General features: G+C 36.2%; 2 long non-coding RNA genes across 3 annotated transcripts in view; one reads left to right on the forward strand and one right to left on the reverse strand.

Annotated features, from left to right (window-relative positions):
- Positions 1-6,656: 6,656 nt before the first annotated feature.
- Positions 6,657-13,168, reverse strand: LOC105374564 (uncharacterized). Its single transcript, XR_925547.1, has 3 exons — positions 13,006-13,168; positions 6,847-6,945; positions 6,657-6,760 (listed from the first exon to the last, which is right to left on the reverse strand). It is a non-coding gene; the product is annotated as an uncharacterized LOC105374564 (long non-coding RNA).
- Positions 13,169-13,403: 235 nt separating this feature from the next.
- Positions 13,404-24,916, forward strand: part of LINC02501 (long intergenic non-protein coding RNA 2501) — a 52,278-nt gene continuing 40,765 nt past the window's right edge. For both annotated transcript variants that reach the window (NR_149121.1, NR_149122.1), the window contains exon 1: positions 13,404-13,685. This is a non-coding gene — a long non-coding RNA (long intergenic non-protein coding RNA 2501). The remainder of the gene's footprint in view (positions 13,686-24,916) is intronic.

Consider the following 24,916-nt stretch of genomic DNA (forward strand, 5'->3'; position numbering starts at 1 on the left):
AAAAATGGGTGTATGGCCAGGCATGATGGCTCACACCTGTAATCCCAAACTTTGGGAGGCCAAGGTGGGTGGATCACTTGAGGCCAGGAGTTTGAGATCAGCCTGGGCAACATAAGGAGATCTACAAAAAATTTCTGTAAATAGTCAGACGTGGTGACACATGCCTATAGTCTTGGCTACTTCGGAGGCTGAGATGGGAGGGTCACTTGAACCCAGAGGTTCAAGGTTGCAGTGAGCTGTAATCATGCCACTGCACTCCAGACTCGGTGATAGAATGAGACCCCATCTCTTAAAAAAATAAAAATATTTTGTTAAATGAGTGAAAGAGTTGAATAGACATTTCTTCAAAGAAGATATACAAAATGACCAATTAGCACATGAGAAAATGCTCAACATCACCACATGCTAGGGAGATACCAAGCCAAACTGTAATGAGATTCCAATTCACACCGTTAGTATGGCTACTATCAAAAATAATAAATAAAAATAACAAGTGTTAGTGAGGATGTGGAAAAATTGGAGCCCTTGTGTTCTGTTGGTAGGAATGTAAAATGCTACAGCTTCAGTGTAAAACAATATGGTAGTTCCTCAAAAATTAAAAATAGAATAAAATAAAATTCAGAATAGAATTTACAGTTTTTAATTCTGGGTGTATACTCCCCAAATTGAAAGCAGGTTCTTGAGAAGATATTTGTACACCCATGTTTACAGTAGCATAATTCCTAATAGCAAAAAGGTAGACACAACCCAAATGTCCATTCATGAGTGAGTGGACACAGTGTGGTCTATGTATACAAAGGAATATTATTCAGCCTTTAAACAGAAAGGCAATGATGACAAAAGCAATGAAAAGAATGATGCCTGAGAATATTACCTTAAATCAAATTAGCCAGTCAGAAAAAGACAAATTTTGAATAATTCTATTTATGTGAGGTACGTAGAATAGTCAAATTTCTAAGTACAGAGTAGAATGATAATTGCCAGGGGCTGGGTAGGAAAAAAAAAGAGTTGTTTAATAAGTACAGACTTTCAGTTTTTGCAGGATGAAAAAACTTCTGGAGATTGGTTGCACAATAACGTGAATGTACTTAATGCTACTGAAATGTACACTCAAAAATAATTAAGATGGCAAATTTTGTTATGTCTATTTTAACATAATTTAAAAATAATTAGTTTATAATTCTTTCATCAAAACTATAATTTTCTGAAGTGGTTTTCTTTTCAGCTCTGAGAGTCAGTATAATCAAATATGGAAAGAGAATTTAGAGTCAGGCTTCTAAATTGCTTTATGATTGCATGTTTATTGAAATTTTTTTTAAAATGAAGCACACACATAATTTCCTCTTTAATATGTGATTAATGCTATATTTTAGTGAAAAAGTTATATATAAAATGTAGAATACTTAAAATAAATATTTCTATTTTTGTTATGCTATATACTGTGTATATATAGATATATATATGATACAATATATCATATATTTTATATATTTATTTTTATTTTTGTTTTATATATTGTATATAATTACCACATAATTGTCTTAATACATGTATAAAAATGTATATAACATATAGATCACATATGATAAATTAATATACATCTATTAAAGCTCTACTCAATATTAGAGAATCATGGTATTAAAAATGTTTGGACCACATTATCTAGAACACAGAAAGTAATTTCAAACTGGAGTTTGTTACATAAGCACTTATATCCTACATGTAAAAATCCAAAATCATGATTGTCTTGAGATCTCTACGGTCAGTGTGAAACTTGGCTTTGAGGACTTTCTGGTGAGTCTGCTATTTTTGGCTAACACCTAACTGTTTTAATACCAGGCCATGATTCTTTTCTGTTCAAATTATTTATTTTGACTTTCAGAAATAAATGTTGAGTATCCCTCATTTAAAATGTTTAGGACAATAATGGTTTCAGACTTAAATATTTTTCAAAATTTTGAGCATTTGCATGTATGTAATGAGATATCTTAGATATGAGACCCAAGTTCAAATATTCCATTCAACTATGTTTCATATACACCTTATACACCTAGCCTTAAGATAATTTTATGTAATATTTTTAATAATTCTGTGCATGTGACACAGTTATTACTGTTCTATCACATTGGTAAGGTGTGGCATTTTCCACTGTGACATCATGTTGATATTCATAAAGTTTCAGACTTTAGAGCATTTCAGATTTTGAATTTTTGGATTAGGAGTGCACTACCTGTATCTGAAAATTACACAAGTCAGGTTAATTTCAAACTAAAATCGTAGCCAATAATTTCAGTTGGCTGACAGTCCTACTTAGTACTTTAGTAGTATTTTAGTCCTACTAAATTTCCTTAACCATTCTTCTACTCTCTTTGATGACTTTATTAATTAATTAATACCTTCTTCTCTCTCTTAAAACCACTGAAACCTCTCATTTTCAAGCTCAAATAGTGTTTCACTGAGAAAATATAACCAATCAAAAGAGAATTTACATAAGCTCCCATCAAAACATGTACCGGTGTAGCTACACTTGGACTTAAGTACTCTACCTTTCCTCCTATTATTATGAAAAAAAAAAAATCTGTACTGCTATTAAAAGCCAACTCCTCTCCTGTGCTAGATCCGTAATAGTGAGCCAAGAACATTATTCTGGCAATTTTCCTTTCTCTTTGATGCCATAATTTGTTTTTCTTGTCTGTTGGATCAATCCCATCGACATAAGAATATACCATCATAAAAGTAAATAAATAGCCTGTAATACCAGCACTTCGGGAGGCCGAGGCGGGCAGATCATGAGGTCAGGAGATCGAGACCATCCTGGCTAACACCGTGAAACCCCATCTCTACTAAAAATACAAAAAATTAGCTGGGTGTGGTGGCACGTGCCTGTAATCCCAGCTACTCCGGAGGCTGAGGCAGGAGAATCGCTTGAACCTGGGAGGCGGAGGTCTCAGTGAGCCGAGGTCATTCCACTGCATTCCAGCCTGGGCGACAGAGCGACACTCCATCTAAAAAAAAAAAAAAAAAAAAAAAAAGCAAATAAACAAAATATCCTCTTTATATTTACTTTCCTCCAATATCCTATTCCTCTGCTCTCGCATAAGAAAATGCCCCAACATGAATGTTTATACACACTCTCTCTAATCCTTCCTTATTTCTTTATCGAATCCATGGCAATCAAACTTTCATCCCTGAAACTCTAGTAAGAATGTTCTGGTCAAAATCATCAACAACCTCCTAATTCCGAAATCTAAGGACTAGCTCTCAGTCCTCATCTTAACCCAAACATTAGCAGTGGATCACTCCCTTTTCCTTGAAACATTTTCTTTATTTGGCTTTAAGGAAAATATATCCTCCTAAATTTACCTTCTTACTCTTCTTTGTTAACTCTTCGGTTTTTACCCCCTGAGCGATTAATGTTGGGGTACCCCAGACCATGTTTCTTGATCTTCTTGCCTATTTCCACCCAGTTTATTGTTTCATCTAGTTTTATTACACGAAATTCAATTTATACAATGGCAACTTCCAAATTTACATCTTCAGCCCAGAACATGTCCCTGAACTCCAGCTTCATGTATCCAACTACTTACTCAATATTTCCAGTTACATATATGACAGGCAGTTTAAATTTAACGTGTTTCCAGAATCAAATCCTAATATCCTCTGCAATGTTACTCTTCTTTACAAATATCTTCCGCATCCAGTTGCTCGAATTTGGGAAGGAATTCTTGGATTTTCTTGTTATCTCCCTCACCACATCTAATCTGCCAGAAAAGCTTATTGGTGCTACCAAAGCAATAGATCCAGTGTGGGCCGGGCGCGGTGGCTCACGCCTGTAATCCCAGCACCTTGGGAGGCCGAGGTGGGCGGATCATGAAGTCAAGATATCGACAGCATCTTAGCCAACATGGTGACACCCCGTCTCTACTAAAAATACAAAAAAATTATCTGGGTGTGGTGGTGTGAGCCTTAGTCCCAGCTACTAGGAAGGCTGAGGCAGGAGAATCTCTTGAACCCGGGAGGCGGAGGCTGTGGTGAGCTGAGATCGCATCACTGAACTCCAGCCTAGGTGACAGAGCGAGACTTCGTCTCAAACAAAACAAAACAGATTCAGCGTGTCTACTTGTCATTTTCAGTTGTAAAGATGAACACCTACCAAGTCACATTCCAGTGTGGCTTTAATCATTTTGCCTGGTATTTTCCAGTTGGCTCAGAAGTAATCTACTACCCCTTATCTGCCTTCTATGGTCAATTCACAACACAGCAGTCAGCAGTTTGCTCTAAAATTTGCTATAGTACACTACTTACCTATTTGGAATCCTCTAATATGTCCCTATATCATACAGCTTAAAAACGAAAGTCCCTAGAACATTCTATTAGTCCTTACCTGATTGCTCTTCTCCATATGTCTGACGTTATCTCCCGCAAATCCTTTACTTACTCTCTCCTTGTCAGCCACCCCCGTACCTTGGCTTTTATTGTCTGAAATCTTTCCCCAGAGAGCTCCTTGTCTTGTTCTCTTCCTTCTTCAGGTATGTGCTCAAATGTCACTTTATAAACAGTGTCTTCCCTGACCACTATATTTAACTAGCCACACAATATGCATCTCTCTCTCTCTTTCTTTCATTCTTTATTTTTCTGCATAATGCTTATTTTTACTTGATTTTCCCATATATTTGACTTTTTTCCCTTGTGTCTATTTCAGAAACGTAAGCTTTACCAGAGTAGATTTTTCTGTGCTGCTTGCTGTATCCCTAGTGCATTGTATTCAATAAAAGTTATTCAATAAAATATTCATTAAACAATGAGTAAAAACATTGAAATAAATGAATAAAATGTTCTATTTTTTAATGCACTAAAATACATTCTTTTTTTCTCTAGTAGTTTCTGGTCAAATAAGAAGTTATTTATTATTGACTGCCTTGCTAAGTGTAAAGAAATTTGATTAATAGGGAGTGGTTAGGACTATTTTAATTTGTAAAATTTTCTATTACTAAAAAGTTTTAATTGCCAGCAAGGCTGATCATTAGACAAGAAAATAACTAGAGAGCTAGGTATTGTTTTTTAAATGTTATTAGGCACCATTCTCAAATGAAAAGATTAGTCACTCTTATAGTTGTAGCAATTTAACATTCAAACTTGAAATGCAAAATTTAAAATTACAATGTTCATAATGTGTGTTTTAATTTCAAACTCATGTCTTCATTTCATATTGAACATACTATGCAGATTTATTTTCAGTCACTTGACATCAGGCGGCTATATATGTTGAATAAGGAACAGAAAACACAAATACTTTTTCCAATATTCCCTTTGCAAACCCTTTTGATAATAGCTGAAGATATTAGATATTTACAGTTATAGCCGTGAATGAATAATGTGTATGGTGTGTTTAAAAAGAAAAACCACAAATTTCGTGGTCCCGGGTTATCATAGTAGTAACTGAATTTTCCCAAACAAAGATGTCTGACCTTTTTGGAAGAGCAAGTATGAATAGCTGATAGTTTTAAAGAAGCAAATTTTTGATAATTAGTAACAAGGAAATTTACATGACTTTCTAATTAAGGTTTTTATATGGATTATATTGCAAAGTAATACTGTGGTTTTACATAACTTGCTTCATTAGAATATACACAAATGACATTTACAAAGATTATATAGTGATAGTAAAAAGTACTTCTAATGAACATTTAGAACTGAGTTACAATACTTTTTAACTATGAAGTCATTGAAGTACAAATTTCCTCAATGTACGAGTCTTTATGCTAAAAGTTACTAAAATAAATGAAAATCATTTGTACTTTGAATATTATTATTATTTTTCCCATAGCTTTCTCTTTCCTGGTTCCAACTCTTGCCCAGAAACTCACCCACCCTTCCACCCTTTCCAATTCCAGTTTACCCAGATCCTAGCTGTGTTGCAAGACAGAGGTTGAATCTCTCTCTTTTTTAAAAAAATTTTTTATTATACTTTAAGTTCTGGGGTAGATGTGCAGAACGTGAAGGTTTGTTACATAGGTATATGCCTGCCATGATGGTTTGCTGCACCCATCAACCCGTCATCTACATTAGGTATTTCTCCTAATGCTAGCCCTCCCCTAACCCCCCATCCACTGACAGGCCATGGAGTGTGATGCTCCCCTCCCTGTGTCCATGTGTTCTCATTGTTCAACTCCCACTTATGAGTGAGAACATGCGGTGTTTGCTTTTCTGTTCTTGTGTTAATTTGCCGAGAATGATAGTTTCCAGCTTCATCCATGTCCCTACAAAGGGCAATAACTCATCCTTTTTTATGGCTGCCCAGTATCCCATGGTGTATATATGACACATTTTCTTTATCCAGTCTACCACTGATGGGCATTTGGGTTGATTCCAAGTCTTTGCTATTGTGAACAGTGCCACAATAAACATACGTGTGCATGCATCTTTATAGTGGAATGATTTATAATCCTTTGGGTATATATACCCAGAAATGGGATCGCTGGGTTAAATGGTATTTCTAGTTCTATATCCTTGAGGAATTGCCACACTGACTTCCACAATGGTTGAACTAATTTACACTCCCACCAACAGTGTAAAAGCGTTTCTATTTCTCCACATCCTCTCCAGCACCTGTTGTCTTTTCACTGTAGTGGAAAATGCACTCAACTTACAGTTGGAATGTCTGGATTCAATTTTTTTATGTACTCACATAGCATAGTCAGGATGAGGGTCCTTTTCTATAAAATGTTGATAATATCTCTCCAAATGTCTTTGTAAATACCTGTGAATTGAAAAGTACTAGTAAAAACATAAATTGTATTATTAATATTACTACTATTATTGTTGTTTTGAGGACATTTCCCTTACCTTGCAAACCAGAGAGTGGTAATGTTGTTTTATATTTATGAATCTTCATCCATTTATAACAATCTTAGTATACTGGTAAATCTTTCAGTTTTGTAAAAACTATAAAATACAAAAATAAAAAAGAGCATAATGATTTTCTAATGAAAATGTGTTATTGATATTTGATAAATATTATTGTTATATGTAATTGTATATATATATATATATGCTTCCAAAAATTGAAAATACATCAATTGAACTGCATGTTAAATAGTTAATGCTAAAAATAAAAGATGTCAAGTTAGAGAGAAGAATAATTTAGTAGATGTTCACTGCCAATAAGGTGATGTGGGATAAAAAATCCTACAAACAATGCTGAGCATTACAGGCACCAATGTACCATTTTCATATACTAAAGAGAGCACGCTATTAATGAGTCTTGGAATGGTGTCAAAAAATGAAGCTTTCAGATAGACTTCATGAAATTAGTTAATGTATTTGTATACAGGAACATTTCACAGATTAATTACATTTTAAAAAGTCCTATAACTTTACGGTATTAATTTCTTCAGCAGACACAAAGTGACAATAATATGGTTGGAAGTGAGCCCATGAGTTCAAAATTTCAAAACAGAGATCCGTCCCCCATCCTTATATCTTTTAAATGTATCTTTGAAGTAAATAGAACTGAGTAGAATTTGTATCCTCTCGAAGGGGAGTAAAGGATGCATTTAATTGAAGATGAGCCAAGGCAGAAACATTTAGATGATTAAAGCTTTAAAATATGAATAGATCATCTTTAGGAACATATGCCTGTAACCTAGTGGGCACTCAAGAGATTTCCACTGTATGATAATAGAGTCTTATATTTATCTGATTGTATTTAGTAAATATCTCTTTGGAATTCAAGATACACAGTAGCTAACTGTATTCTGGTACCAGAATTCCTATTCCTGTCCTAATCCAATTTCTGAAGGATATTTATCAAAGTGTAAATTTAGGTTATTGTTAAGTAGAGAAAACAAGAAAAGCTGGAATCTAGGGAAACTGTATCTAGGAGACAGGTCAATGAACCCTGCTTATGGGACTATAGAAAAGAGGCAGTCGGCCAGGAGATGACCTTGGCAATGCTTCAATTTCCTACTGTTATAAGGAGTAAGAAATTTGAAAAGTAAAAGAATTTAGATCTTACACGAGTAAAAAAATATTTGTAATGGATTATATATATGTGTATATGTATACATAGTGGTGCATATATGTATATATATCCAAAATTAAATTTGAGAAAAAAAATTATTTTTGAAATCAGAGTTTGTGTCTTATCCTAGCACTCAATGTAGTTTTGGATAAAGAAAATACACTCTGATGGTTAATACTGAGTGTCAACTTGATTGGATTGAAGGATACAAAGTATTGATCTTGGGTGTGTCTGTGAGGGTGTTGCCAAAAGAGATTAACATTTGAGTCAATTGGCTGGGAAAGACAAACCCACCCTTAATCTGGGTGGGCACAGTCTAATCAGCTGCCAACATGGCTAGAATATATAAGCAGGCAGAAAAATGTGAAAAGAGAGACTGGCCTAGCTTCCCAGCCTATATCTTTGTCATCTTTGTCCGTTGCTGGATGCTTCCTGCCCCTGAACATCAGACTCCAAGTTCTTCAGTTTTGGAATTCAGATTGGCTCTCCTTGCTCCTCAGCCTACAGATGTTCTATTGTGGGACCTTGTGATTGTGTAAGTTAATGCTTAATAAACTCCCCTTTACACACACACACACACACACACACGTTTTCCATTAGTTCTATCCCTCTAGAGAACCCTGAATAATATAGATTTTGGTACCAGGCGTGGTTCTAGAGGAACAGAATATTAAGGATGGAGTTCTTTCATTAGTTTTGGGGTTTCTGGAGTTGGTTGCTTAATATGATTAGACTCCAAAATGCTAAGGACTCTATTTCTAGTAGTATGGAGTACGCTGGTAGTCTTTGGCATGAACTGTTTAGAGAGTTATGCAAAATAAATGCATTTGACCCTCATGATTCATTGCTTGTGAGAGCCAAGGAGTTTAGTGACTCTGTACATGATACCTTTGACCATATATGGGGAACTGAGGAATGTAATGAAGCTGATTGGTTGCTCCTCAGTTTACTGGACAAAGTGATGAAAGAAAATGATGAACTCAGGGATTCTATCCCTAAAATTATTGAGGCTGAAATCTGCTAAGATTGCCCTGAGTGAGAGTCTTATCTCCTGTAGAGAAAGAGCTGAAATTATGAAAAAACAGACACAAGATCTTATCATGCGAGTGGCTGACCTGCAATGAAAGGTGCATGCACAGTCTCGCTAGTTGTCTACTGTTAAAGTGAGGGCATTGTCTGGAAAAGAATGGGACCCTGCAATTTGGAATGGGGATGTGTGGGAGGACCTGATGAAGCTGGGGACACTGAGTTTGTAAACTCTGATTGAACATTTTTTTTGCCAGAAGAAATAGCTTCCCCCTCACCAGTAGTGACAACATTCCCTCCCCGACCCATGCTGCCATCAACTTTTCCACTTTTGTCTGAGGAGATAAACCCTGTGTTGCCTGAGACAACAGTGCTTGCCTCTCCTAAGTTAGTTGTCAGGCAAGATAATGTTGATTCTCCTCAGGAGTCACCCCCAACACTCTTGTTTGCTTCTAGACCTATAACTAGACTAAAGTCCCAGTGGGCCCCTAGAGGTGAGGTTGAGAGTGTGACCCATGAGGAGGGGTGCTACACTTAAAAATAACTGTTTGAGTTTTCTAATTTGTATTACCAGAAATCTGGAAAACAGGCATGGGAATGGATATTAAGGGTGTGGGATAATGGTGGAAGGAACATAGAGTTGGATCAGGCTGAATTTATTGATTTAGGCCCACTAAGTAGGGACTCTATATTTAATATTGCAGCTCAGGGAGTTAAGATGGTTTTAGTAGTTTATTTGCTTGGTTATCTAAAATATGGATTAAAAGATAGCCCACTCTGAGTGAGCTGGAAATGCCTGATCTCGCTTGGTTTAATGTAAAGGAAGAGATCCAAAGGCTTAGGGAGATTGGGATAGTGGAGTAGATTAGTCACTTTAGACCTACTCATCCCAGCTGAGAGGGTCCAGAAGATATATCTTTGAACAATGCCTTGAAAAATAGATTTGTGAGGGCAGCTTCTGCATCTTTGAAGAGGCTTGTAATTGCTTTTCTGTGTATGTCATATCTAACAATGGGAACTACAGTCCCTCAACTGCAAAATTTAAATACAATAGGAATAATTAGATCCCAAGGTGGCAGGGGCCAAGTGGCAGCACTCAATCATCAAAGGCAAGGTAGGCATAGCTACCATAATGGGCAGCAGAGGCAAGCGGCAATCAGAATAGTCTGACTCCTGTAGAGCTCTGGCATTGGCTAATTAATAATGGTGTTCCTAGAAGTGAAATTGGTAGGAAGCCTACTGCATTTATACTTAGTTTATATAAGCAGAAAACTTCTAGATCAAATAGACAAAAGACTAATTTGAATTATAAAAATAGAGAATCATGGCCCCTCAATCAATTTCCAGGCTTAAGGCAGTTTACAGACAAAGAACACCTTGAATGAAGAGGAGGCTGTGTCCCCTTGAGGAAGGACCTCGCTGCATTACCAACAATTTATGCAATGAATCTTTCTCCCATCCTTCACCAAAGAGATCTCTGGTCTTTAACCTAGGTAACGGTGCATTGGGAAAAGGGAAATGGTCAGACATTTTGGGGACTACTGGACACTAGTTCTGAGCTGACGTTGATTCCAGGGGACCCAAAATGTCATTGTAGTCCTCTAGTTAAAGTAGAGGCTTTTGGAGGTCGGATAATTAATGGAGTTGTAGTTCAGGTTCGACTTACAGTGGGTCCAGTCAGTCCCCAGACTCATCCTGTGGTCATTTCCCCAGTGCCAGAATGCATAATTGACATAGACATACTTAACAGCTGGCAGAACCCCCACATTGACTCCCTGACTGGTAGGGTGAAAGCTATTATGGTGGGAAAGGCCAAATGGAAGCCATTTGAGCCGCTTCTTCCTATAAAAATAGTAAATCAAAAACAATATCGCATCCCTGGAGGGATTGCAGAGATTAGTGCCACCATCAAGGATTTGAAAGACGCAGGGGTGGTGATTCTCACCACATCCCGTTCAACTCTCCCATTTGGCCTGTGCAGAAGACAGATGGATCCTGGAGAATGACAGTGGATTATTGTAAGCTTAACCAAGTGGTGACTCCAATTGCAGCTGCTGTACCAGATGTGGTTTCATTACTTGAGCTAATTAACACCTGGTACCTGGTATGCAGCCATTGACTTGGCAAATGCTTTTTCTCCATTCCTGTCCATAAGGCTCACCAGAAGCAATTTGCCTTCAGCTGGCAAGGCCAGCAATATACCTTTACTGTCCTACCTCAGGGGTATATCAACTCTCCGGCTTTGTGTCATAATCTTATTTGGAGTGACTTTGATAGTTTTTCACTTTCACAAGATATCACACTGGTCCATTACATTAATGACATTATGTTGATTGGATAAAGTGAGCAAGAAGTAGCAAACACGCTAAACTTATTGGTGAGACATTTGCATGCCAGAGGATGGGAAATAAATCCAAATAAATTCAGAGACCTTCTACCTCAGGGAAATTTCTAGGGGTCCAGTGGTGTGGAGCCTGCCAAGATATTCCTTCTAAGGTGAAGGATAAGTTGCTGCATTTGGCCCCTCCTATAATCAAGAAAGAGGCACAATGCCTAGTGGGTCTATTTGGATTTTGGAGGCAATGCATTGCTCATTTGGGTGTGTTACTGTAGCCCATTTATCCAGTGACCCAAAAGGTGGCCAGTTTTGAGTAGGGTCCAGAACAGGAGAAGGCTCTGCAACAGGTCCAGGCTGCTGTGCAAGCTGCTCTGCCACTTGGGCCATATGACCCAGAAGATCCAATGGTGTTTATGGTGTTTGAGGTTTCAGTTGCAGGTAGGGATGTTGTTTGGAGCCTTTGACAGGCCCTCATAGGTGAATCACAGCAGAGGCCTGTAGGATTTTGGAGCAAGGCCCTGCCATCTTCTGCAGATAACTACTCTCCTTTTGAGAGACAACTCTTAGCTCATTACTAGGCTTTGGTGGAAACTGAACATTTGACTGTGGGTCATCAAGGCACCATGTAACCTGAACTGCCTATCATGAACTGGGTTCTTTCTGGCCCATCTAGCCATAAAGTAGGTTGTGCACAGCAGCCGTCCATCATCAAATGAAAGTGGTATATGCGTGATCAGGCTCGAGCAGGTCCTGAAGGCACAAGTAAGTTACAAGAGGAAGTGGCTCAAATGCCCATGGTCTCCACTCCTGCCACTCTGCCTTTTCTTCCCTAGCCTGCACCGATGGCTACATGGGGTGTTCCCTGTGATCAGTTGACAGAGGAAAAGAAGACTAGGGCCTGGTTCACAGGTTCTTCACAATATTCAGGCATTACCCAAAAGTGGACAGCTGCAGCACTACAATCTTTTTCTAGGACATCCCTGAAGGACAGCTATGAAGGGAAATCTTCCCAGTGGGCAGAACTTCGAGCAGTGCACCTTGTTGTGCACTGTGCAAGGAAGGAGAAATGGCCAGATATGCGATTATGTACTGATTCATGGGCTTCAACCAATGGTTTGGCTGGATGGTCAGGAACTTGGAGGAAGCATGATTGGAGAATTGGTGATAAAGAAATTTGGGGAAGAGGTATGTGAATGGACCTCTCTGAGTGGTCAAAAATTGTGAAGTTATTTGTATCCCATGTGAGTGGTCACCAAGGGGTCACCTCAGCAGAGAAGGATTTTAATAATCAAGTGAAAAGGATGATCAGTTTTGTGGCCACCACTCAGCCTCTTTCTCCAGCCACCCTGTCACAGCCCAATGGGCCTATGAACAAAGTGGCCATTGTGGCAGGGATGGAGGTTATGCATGGGCTCAGCAACATGGGCTTACCAAGGCTGACCTGGCTGTGACTACTGCTGATTGCCCAATTTCCCAGCAATAGAGACCAACATCAAACCCTTGATATGGCACCATTCCTTGAGGTGATCAGCAAGCTACTTAGTGGCAGGTTAATTATATTGGACATTTTCCATCATGGAAAGGGCAGAGGTTTGTCCTTACTGGAATAGACACTTACTCTGGATATGTGTTTGCCTATCCTGCACACAATTCTTCTGCCAAGACTACCATCCATGGACTCACAGAATGCCTTATCCACTGTCATAGTATTTCACACAGCATTGCCTTTGACCAAGGCACTCACTTATGGGTAAAGAAGTGCGGCAATGGGCTCACGTTCATGGAATTTACTGGTCTTATCATGTTCCTTAACACCCTGAAGCAGCTGGATTGACAGAACGCTGGAATGCCCTTTTGAAGTCACAATTACAATGGTAACTAGGTGACAATACTTTGCAGGGCTGGGGCAAAGTGCTCCAGAAGGCTGTGTATGCTCTGAATCAGTGGCCGATATATGGTACTGTTTCTCCCATAGCCAAGATTCAGGAGTCCAGGAATCAAGGGGTGGAAATGGAAGTGGCACGACTCACCAACACCCCTAGAGATCCACTGGCAAAATTTTTGCTTCCTGTTCCCATGACATTATATTTTGCTGGCCTAAAGGTCTTAGTTCCAGAGGGAGAAACACTGCCGCCAGGAGACACAACAACGATTCCATTCAATTAGAAGTTAAGATTGCCACTTGGACACTTTGGGCTTCTCCTACCTTGAAGTCAACAGGCTAAGAAGAGAGTTACTTGGCTGGGGCGATTGACCCAGATTATCAAGATGAAATCAGTCTACTACTCCACAACTGAGGTAAGGAAGAGTATGCATGGAATACAGGAGATCCATTAGGGTGTCTGTTAGTATTATGATGGCCTGTGATTAAGGTCAATCAGAAACTACAATAGTCCAATCCAGGCAGGACCACAAATGACCCAGACCTTTCAGGAATGAAGGTTTGGGTCACTCCACCAGGAAAAAAACACACGACCTGCTGAGGTGCCTGTTAAAGGCAAAGGGAATACAGAATGGGTAGTAGAAGAAGGTAGTCATCAATACCAGCTATGACCACATGAACAGCTGCAGCAATGAGGACTGTAATTGTCATGAGTATTTCCTCCTTATTTTGTTAAAAGCATGTCTGTGCATGTATACACTTTTACTAAAAAATATCTTCATTTTATTTCCTTTCTCCTTTATCATGCGACATAAGATTTATTGCCTTCATATTAGCATTTGTGTATTGTTAACTTTATGTAATAGTATTTGGGTTGGGGAGTGGTGCGTTTCTGATTGTATGAAGGATAGTTGTATTACGTTAGGCATAATTACAACCTTATTAATTGTCTTTATTTGAAGATTATGTCTGATATCAGGAGATGTGTGTGGGTTCATGTTGACAAGGGGTGGACTTGTGATGGTTAATACTGAGTGTCAACTTGATTGGATTGAAGGATACAAAGTACTGAATCTTTGTTGAGTCTGTGAGGGTGTTGCCAAAGGAGATTAACATTTGAGTCAGCGGGATGGGAAAGGCAGACCCACCCTTAATCTGCCTGGGCACAGTCTAATCAGCTGCCAACACATCTAGAATATAAACCGGCAGAAAAATGTGAAAAGAGACTGGCCTAGCCTCCCAGCCTACATCTTTCTCCTGTGCTGGATGCTTCCTGCCCTCAAACATTGGACTCCAGATTCTTTAGTTTTGGAACTCGGACTGTCTCTCCTTGCTCCTCGGCCTGCAGACGGGCTACTGTGGGACCTTGTGATCGTGTAAGTTAATACTTAACAAATTCATACATACATATATATGTATATATATATATAAATATATATATATTCCATTAGTTCTGTCCCTTTAGAGAACCCTAATACATACACTTACACTAAATATTTTTAATCAGCTAGCATGTGAATACATTAATAATTAATCATTTCAACAGATGATCTTTATATCTTGGCAATAATGTACCTCTGTGATTTCTGCATATTATTTAAAACTATGTGAAACAAAAAATAGAGAAAAATTATATGAATTTGCAGTATACATATAATTACTATCAGATTGCAGTATAAGCACAACACCGTTCTCAAGATCACTAGTTTCTTCGACTATGAAAAAAAAATTCCAGGACTCAAAACAGAATGATTATAGACCTCATTGATTTTTTTCTTAAGTAAAGCAATTATACTTTAAAACATGTTCTCAAGGATGAGAAAAAATGTTATATTAAGACATTGCACTAGATATGAAGTTAAGACAGTGTTTTTTCTTTGTTTTTGTTTTTGCTTATTTGTTTTTAATCTCAGTTCTACCACCTGATAGCTTCAGGAACCTGAAAAAATTGCTTCATTGTCCTATACTATAAAATAAATGAAAAGCATAGAAAAGATAAATATTTCATTTATTTCTCATCACCACCAAGTGAGTTGATCCTATGAGAGGTAATATAGTGTAGTATTAACAGTGGAGGCTCTGAAATTAAACAGTCCAATACCACCAATAAATGTCAATCAATGAGTTAAGCCGACTCAAGACTGCTTGACTGAAGAGCCCATGTCTGCCCCACTCTAACCTCTATGGCCTTATAAGGATGCCTATGAGAAATCATTAAACAGCATTGGAGAAAGAAGAATAACATCTGTCCTTTAAAACTGCTCATAGTTCTGACTATTAACACGACTAATACTGTGAATGTTGTTTTTCCCAAAATTGCCTTGTGCAGAATTAGGGATATTTTTTCTTTATTTATTTGGTGCCTGATACTGGAATGCTGTCTGTGAATAATTAATATTTCCAGTAAGAGGTGTGTTTTTTTTGTCATATCAGTTCAATTTAGCTTTATCAGAAAAAGATCAAGGATAATATTCAATAATAAGAAACATATGTAGCTTAGAGTAACAGATATAAGCTGCTTCTGGATGATTTACAGAAATAGTAGAAAATAATATGGGAAAATAGATATGGAAGTATCAAAATAATAAAGAAAATACACTTCCACTTGAAAAATAATTTAGAGTTTCTTTATAAAGAATATCTTATAGGTAAAAAAATTATTTAAGGGACTTAATCATTGTTCTCTGCTCCCTTTTCCTTTTTGGAATACATATCTTTCTCCTTGGAAGACAAGTAAATAGGAAACTCACAATTTTTCCAGCAAAACTTGTATGTGAAAATATAAGCAAAATGATAAATGTGACTGGCCGACAAGCAAAAAACATTGTTTACCATCAAACAGCACCAAAACTTCTGGCTGTGTTATTACCAATTTGAATGGACCTTTGCCGAAAGTCCCTGTAAGTATCTTGATAGCAGATAATTCCAACACACCTCTTGTTTCTGTCAACTCACTACCTTGAGATGCTAAGCTAGTTTAATAATATACTCTCTTTGAAATGGTATCCAATGTTCCTTTAACTCACACTTCTATTTCTGCCCTCTCTGCCAAATCTGGATTCTTTGATCTATTAACTAGCTCCACCACAATTAACTACAATGAATACTCTTTCTGCCCATTATTTTCTTTTCTTAAATAAATCCTGGTCTCCACAGAATACATGGACTCCCCTGTGGTCCCTGAAAAATTATGTTGATCTTCTAGCCACCACACATTGATGGTAAGAAGGAAACCTTCAAGAACAGGAATAAGGATATTTTTCCTTGTTATAATTACCATTCCAAATTATTAATCCTTTATTCTTAGATAAAAACACTGTTGAATTCAGATAAGCTGAATTGTTATAATCACTCTCAGTTATTCACCAAAAGATTTTGTCACTGACTTCATGGCTGTCCTTGGAGCCATCATTATCCTAGGCTATAATAGTGTCTTTGGGAATTCATAATAATTGAATCCACATGCTTTGTTTTGTTTTGTTTTGAGATGGAGTATTGCTCTTGTCGCCCAGGCTGGAGTGCAACGGCATGATCTCAGCTCACTGCAACCTCGGCCTCCCGGGTTCAAGCAATTCTTCTGCCTCAGCCTCCCGAGTAGCTGGGAATACAGGCACATGCTACCATGCCCAGATAATTTTTTGTACTTTTAGTAGAAATGGGGTTTCACCATATTAGCCAGTCTGGTCTCAAACTCCGGACCTCAGGTGATCCGCCTGCCTCAGCCTCCCAAAGCGCTGGGATTACAGGCATGAGCCACTGCACCCATCCTGAATCCCCATGTTTTATAATTGTTTCTCCTCTTCAACTCCAACGGCTTTAGTTTCATGCCACATATGCCTTCATATATTGAAGGCCACACCTAGAACTTTGTCATAATCCAAAAATGAACAATGAATAAAGTCTTACACTACAACATTCTATTACCTGATCAGACATTTTTCCAGCTCTCAGTTTTTCTCTTTAAATACAGACACATTTTAAACCTCATGGAGGCTTTTTGTTTCTGGATCAATCTGTCTTCTATTAATCCATTAGCTTTATTCTAGGTTTCCTTTCGTTCTTATTCAGGACTCCAGGGATACCTATTATTGTTATTGTTAATAATGATTAAGAATTTTATTGTTATACGTTTTTCTGCAAGGACATTTCAAACTTTTTACCTAAGCCCAATTAAGGTAGAAAAAATCAAAATGATATGGAATAAAATTTTGACATACTAATCCTATTTAGCCTTGTATTTAGACTAGCATGTATAATATTTCCAAGTATACATTTGTAAGAAATGCAAATTAAAAATGTATTCAATTTAGAAATCCAATCTAAGACTTAAACATTAGAAATACATAATGTTTTCTGATAATTTAATAAGTACTTGAAAGTATGTAGCCCTATGTCCAACACATATCAAGTGACCAGTAACTATTACATAGTCCAGAATATCTAGAGAATTATCTTTTGATCGTTTCATCATGCTACAGTGTCCAAGCTCACAGGGTTCCTTGAAAAGGCATTAAGAAGGAGTAAAAACATGTTTTTTTCATGAAGGAAATTTAAGCATAACATTAGGATGTGCAAAACTCAAGAAAAAATAAAAAATTATATGTAAAAACACTAAGAAAAGTTTTTTAAAAGCCCAGAGGAGGTTTGAGTGAATGGGATCAATAAAATTATTCTGAAATAAAAAGGAAGGAAAAAGGTTTGAGTGAAGAGAGAAACACAGTAGTGAGAGTAGAGGAATTTCTTATTAAAGACCTCCATTTTTGGTACTGAGTGAGAGGCTGATTAATCTCAGAGTGAGTACCAGAAAGGCATGTATGTTTGGAAAAGATTAGGTGGCAATGAAAAGAAAGTGTCATGTGGGATTTTTCAATATGTTCTATGAGCCTGATTTAATAAAAAGTAAAAGCAGAATATGACACACTTAGTAGGTGTTTTTGCATTACTTCTTTTTTATCTTTTTAGTTATTACCAATGTACTTGCGTTTTTGTGTGTGATGGCCATTTTCCAACTTTCCTCAGTGTTGAGATTCAGAAGTTGCTAAGTGTTAATATTTCCTAGTTAACAGAGCCTGGTGGGAGAAGATGTTTGTTCATTTGTTTTGTTTGATAAACAGCATATCTTTTTTAAATATAAGGTCAACTTTTATTTTAGATTCAGGGAGTACACATGCAGGTTCGTTACATGAGTATATTGCGTGATGCTGACGTTCGGGATACAAATGATCTCGTTACCTGGGTAGTGAGCATAGTAGCCAAGAGGCAGTTTCTCAGTCCTTCCCTCACTTTTTTGGTATCCCCTTTAGTAGTCCCCAGTGTATACTCCTTTCTTTATGTCCATGTGTACCCCGTTGTTTGACTCCCACTTATAAGTGAGAACATGTGGTAGTTTGTTCTTGGTCCTGAGTTAATTTTCTTAGAATAATGGCCTCCATCTGCATCCTTGTAGTTGCAAAGGACATGATTTTATTCTTTTTGACAGCTGTACAGTATTCTACAGTGTATATGTACCACATTTTCTTTATCCAATTCATGTATGTTGATTTTATGTCTTTGCTATTGCAGATAGTGCTGCAATGAATATGTAAGTTCATGTATCTTTTTGGTAGAACTGTTAATTTTCCTTTAGGTATATACACCCAGTAATGGGATTCCTGTGTCACATGGTAGTTCTAAGACCCTTGAGAAATCTCCAAACTTCTTTTCACCATGGTTGAACTAATTTAGACTCCCACCAACAATGTATAAGCATTCCCTTTTCTATGCAACCTCTCCAGCATCTGTTATTTTTTGACTTTTTAATAATAGCTATTCTGACTGGCATGAGATGGTGTCTGATTGTGGTTTCGATTTGCACTTCTCTAATGATTAGTGATGTTGAGCATTTTTTCCTGTTCATTGGCTGCTTATGCGTCTTCTTTTGAGATGTGTCTGCTCATGTCTTTGGTTCACTTTTTAAGGTGGTCACTTGTTTTTTGTTTCTTGATTTATAAAAAACAATGGGGAAGAACTCCTATTCAATAAATGGTACTGGGATTACTGGCTAGCCAGACGCAGAAGAATGAAATTGGATTTTTACCTTTCACCATACACAAAAATTGACTCAAGGTGGATTAAATATTTATATGTAAGAGCTCAAACTATAAAAGTTCTAGAGGAAAACCTAGAAAATACCATTCTGGACAGAGGATTTATGACTAAATCCTCAGCAGCAATTGCAACAAAAACAAAAATTGACAAGTGCGACCTGATTAAACTAAAGAGATTTTGCACAGCAAAAGAAACTATCAATGGAGTAAACTGGCAACTTACAGGTTTGTGACAACCTCACAAACTATGCATCAAACAAAGATCTGATATCCAGAATCAACAAGTAACTTACACAGTTCAGCATGTCTCTTTTTAATTTTTGATTTTTAAAAAATCTGAAACTTTTAAAATAGTGTCCTGGAATAATACTTAACATTTTCACATACAGAAACTAAAACTAAGCATCATATTTTAAAATATAAATATCTACCTAATTGATTTTGATTTATTATTCCACATGAAGATGTCTGTTCAAGGAAGATAGCTCTTATTTCCTAAAAGTGAATACACTTATGCTTTTTAATATGCATCTTTTTTTCTCTTTAGATGCGAGTTATTTTCAATTGCTTTGACTTAGATGAATGGAAGAAAATCAACTTCCTCCAACCATAGCACTTTTCAAAGACCTCTCTTATTTTAAATATGTATATTTTTCTCCTTCCTGTATGATAGTGTCAGATTTATTCTCTTAAGTAGCAGTGAGTATGACTTTTAGAATGAGTGTTTGTAAAATTTTATTAGTGCTATACAGTCTGTTTCTTGATGGGACCTGGTGTTTGTATACACATTAAGTTTTTATATTGTGAAACTAATACATAAGTATGTAAAATGATTTTGTACTTAGAAATTCAACTATACATAAAACTAGTAGGGTGGTGTGTATTCTTGTACACTTTACTTAATATAGAGAGAATTGTGGATTTTTATTGAGAGAGTTGATTGGAAGAGTCCCAGCTCAACCGCTAGTCATTTTTTTGCTTTGGATAATCACTCAGAACCTCTGTTTTACCCATGTGGTAGAGGAAGAGCAGACTGCCTTACTCAATCCAAGGAAAATAATTAGGATTAAGTGGAAAAAAGTTGTACAACACCAATGTACATACTCCATAGCACTATACAGATGTAAGACAATTTACTATCTTTCTAAAATTGTATTTCCTTTTATGATATGATTATTGTCATTTTCTGCACTAGTATTGAGCATGCTTTAATATTTACCTTAAGCAATTTATTAAGGTAAATAATTATTTTTGTTCTAAATCTTAAAAATAATAATAGTAACTATTCTTTATGGAGTATTTAGTATGTACCAAGCCCTGAGCTAAATGTTATGCATATCAGTGTTACATTTAACCCTTAAACAATCCTATAAGGTAGCTATTATTGCTATTTAATTTTATAGAAGAAAATGGGTCTCAGGGACATTAAAATGACAGCTGCTGGATTTAAGAACCAAGATTCAAAGCCAGTTCTATTTGACATCAAAGTCAATTTGGCATATAAAAAACAAATCAAAGAAAGGCATTATGAAGTCATTAATAGCTAAGTTTCAACAGCAAGACACAAATGGATTTGAGTCTTACTCTAATACTAGGTGTGTGATCTTGGGCAAGTTCCCTTTGCATGTGTATATTTCTTCATTGATAAATGGGGATTAAAGTGGAACTTACTTTATGGAGCTGTTTTTAGGTTTAGATGAGATATGTATACATGTAAAGTACTTAGCATTATATCTGTCACACAATACATACACAGCAAATGTTTGCCTTTATTATTTAATCTTCTTAAATTTAGGTCCCTCATTCAAAAATGGAGATGAAAATAAAATAACACCTACCTCAGAATGATAGTGCAAGTATTATATGAGACTATTATTTAAAAAATGGTACTGGGCATATAAGTGCTCAGTAAATAATAATTATTGTCATTATCATCATCATCATCATGTCCAGTCTCCTTCCGGTGAGCATCTACTCTGAATTGCAATATATTTGCTTCAAATTCTGTTGGTTGCAGATATTTGTTACCTTTGTCACCTCTTAAACTGCACCAAGAAAAGCTCAATGGCTCTGATGAATTGCCTAGCATCCCATTAGGGCTCACTTAAAGGCTGATAGCATAAGGAGAAGATATTATTTATTTTCTATACTAAGCCAAAAAAAAAAGACAAAAAAAAAAGTCACTATTTAAGAGCAGGGAGTTTGTATTGCACAACATTCAATGTTAAGAGAGAATCAGTAAAAATAGGTAATTAGAACAATTCCTTAGTCAACTGTAATGGAAAAAAATATAAAAATATATCTGCAAAGGCGTATGGTGTGAGATAAAGAGACAGAGACTACCATGTGCAAGATACATTTATGATGTAGAATGATATGTAATCCATCAGCAGGTGAATAAAATGGAATGTGCTCTCTTGGTTGCTAATTTGTAGCGGTATGACTCAAATGCACATAATGATAAAAATGACAAGGAGTTGGGAGTTGCAGTAGGCAAAAGTAGAACTAGGAAAAGTAATCATAGTAAAATTAAATAGGAATTCCAAATAATATAAATGTTTTTTACATTTGTGTTCAAGAAATATAAAATAAGAAAAAGGCTAAACTGTTCTTTCTAGCCTCCAAACACCATCAACCAAATTTTACTTTTATAATTTATATTTGAAAAAATGAAATTCGACCATATCTTCCCCTTAATGAGGAGTGTGTGTGTGTATGTATATCAATACACCTTGTTTTCCCCTTCTTTAGTTTCATGATTCTACCCTCAAATTAAGGTATTATTTTATTTAACTATAAATATTTATTGAGTGCCTGCCATGTTCCAGGTATTGTTCTGGTATTTGACAGCCATAGGTAAGCAACACAGGAAAAGATAGCTTCCTTCTTGCACTCTTATCAGAGAAGAAAAAAATAATATCATAAAACCAATAATCATAATATCATAAAAATATTTTATGTTAAAAGGCTATTAATAATATGTAACATTTTAGAATTCTACATGGGCATAATACCATGAGGGAACTTGACCTCTTACTATATTTTATGCTTTATCTTTGAAAAAGTATACATGCCAATTGTTAAGTTCTAGGAAATCATATCACATTAATTCTGTTTGATAGCTGCAAGATTCAGATTGTTCCCATTTCAAGCCTCCTTTGGATTTCTAATTGGCTTGGCTATGCATTAGCATGTAGAAAACTGTGGTCATAAATTTGTATTCAGCAAGCATTGGTAGCATGGTTCAGGCAGGTGAAAATGTATAAAGACATAAGAAAATGTGCTATGCAGGCCATTTGGAGAAATACGTCCTTGAAGATTTTTTCAAGTGGTCCTCCCTGTGAATACAATGCATACTTTAATCTCATTTTAGTATAACTTCCTTGTTTAGATTTGTTTCCACCTGTCTGTGAATTCCTGAAGGATACAAACCCTATGATTTATCATTAAACAGGCTAACTGTCAGTTCCAAGACCAAGAGTGGCCAGATTAACTACCAATGAGAAGAAACCCTATCCTAGAGTCTGAACTTATTAATCTGTGGTCTGGGCTTTTGAGCCTTGACCCAGTTGATGTCAGAAACCCTAACCAGTAAGGCTTGGTCATATGCCTAGAAATGTTTCAAAGATTGCTCTTCCACACCTAGATTATTTCCAATACATTATTGGATAGCTTGTGAAACATCCATTTTCACTGACATGACTGGGAAATTCAGTCATAAAAAGTCTACGCAAAGATCATGTAGATATAGTTTTAAAAGGAGTAGGATAAGAAAAATGGCAGAAGGATAAGAAAAATAAGATAGGCTCCGAATGGGCTTTGTAAAGAGGTTCTATAACTATTGTTTAGTTTTTCTTGTATTAATTTCTTCCATTCATTAACAATTCAACAGTGGTTTCTATTTCTTTTTCTGCCTATTTTGTTTTGTTTTGTTTCGTCTTCTCTCTTTCTCTCTGGGATCTTCCTTCTGTTTTTATAAGAGTCTTCATTTTGTCTAAGGAATTGGCTTACAAAGATGTCCTCAATTTCTCCCATTTCATTCTCTAGTATACAGCTTGCCTTCCCAACCTTTATCACTGAAATTTGTCCAAGGTGGAAAAATAATACTTTCCTTATGGCATAAGATCAACAAGTTCTCTGACCCTAAGACTGTTGTAGTCAAGAATGTCTTTACATGCTTGGTCTTGTGAGTTCTGAGAATGCTGTCATTGAGTATGCTTGGCTGATACTCGCCCCTAACTACCATGCTTGTTGCTAACTGCTGGTACTCCACTAGGTGTACCATTGTGCCAATATGTATCTTTGTTCCAATATGTATCTTTAATTTACTAAGACTTTATTTCTGTTTAGAATGATTAAATTATAGATTTTGATTTTAGACCAATATTTTAAATTTATAAAGATAAAAAGTTTTAGGAAGCTCTTGCTGCCATTTTTCTTATCCTTCTCTTTTTAAAACTATGTCTATATGATCTTTGGCTTAGGCTTTTTATGTTTGAATTTCCCAATCATGTCAGTAAAAATGGATTAGTCTCACAAGATATCCAGTAATGTATTTGAAATAACCTACATGTGGAAGAACATTCTTTGAAATATTTCTAGGACTATGAGCAAGGCTTGCTGGTTAGGGTTTCTGATATCAGTTGGGGCAATTCTCAAAAGCCCAGACCATAGATCAATAAGCTCAGACTGTAGTATGGATCTAAAAGGCACAGTGTATTGCCAGTTTTGGCTTCTGGTGGAAAATCCAAGCTGATAACTGAGGTTAGTGTATATGTTGTATACCATGATAAATTCTACATTAGGTAGCTAGTCACCAACAGTTGTCACGATAAGGTGAAAAAATATCCCAAGAGGAGTCAGCTCAGTTAAGATCATTAATTTCAAAGTATGGAAGACTGGTATTTTACACAAAATTCTACCTCATAATAGTGTGAGTTTGGGAAAGCAACATAGTCTTTCTGAGTCTTAGGTTTTCATGTATTTGCAATGAAGAGAATAAAATGCTAGTATAATTTACAAGCATTGTTAATGCTGAGGCATTTATAAATGTTGGAATACAGAGGAAGTTATTCTTAGTATCTAAAAATCTAGTGTTGAGGGCAAACAAATAGTGCTAATAGTAAATATATTTATTTCACAGTGTAATAATAGTGCTTACTTTTGTATAGTATTTCATTGTTTACAAAACAAATGTACAAACATTATCTCACATCTTTACACAGTAAATAGGACAGGGCTTATTATTTCATTTAAAGTTAAATATGTTAAAAATCTAAAAATTTAAATGGTCAGCTATCTTTAATTTTTAAGAGAAACAAGTCACATCCTGAAATGGCTTAAAGTTAAAAGTGATTTTACTGTCTTAAATAATAACACAGTCTGAGATTAAGGGCAGTATAGGCATGACTGAATTGGGGGCTAATTAGAAAATATTCTTATTTCATTTCTCTGAAATATTATTACTTCTTACATTTTTCTCCATTCCTAGGCATGACATGGTATCACCAATTAGTAAGAAACATATATCCTGTAGTAGGAGGAAGATGGCTGCTATAAAA

This window comes from Homo sapiens, chromosome 4, assembly GCF_000001405.40.
Source record: "Homo sapiens chromosome 4, GRCh38.p14 Primary Assembly".
Lineage (NCBI taxonomy): Eukaryota > Metazoa > Chordata > Mammalia > Primates > Hominidae > Homo > Homo sapiens.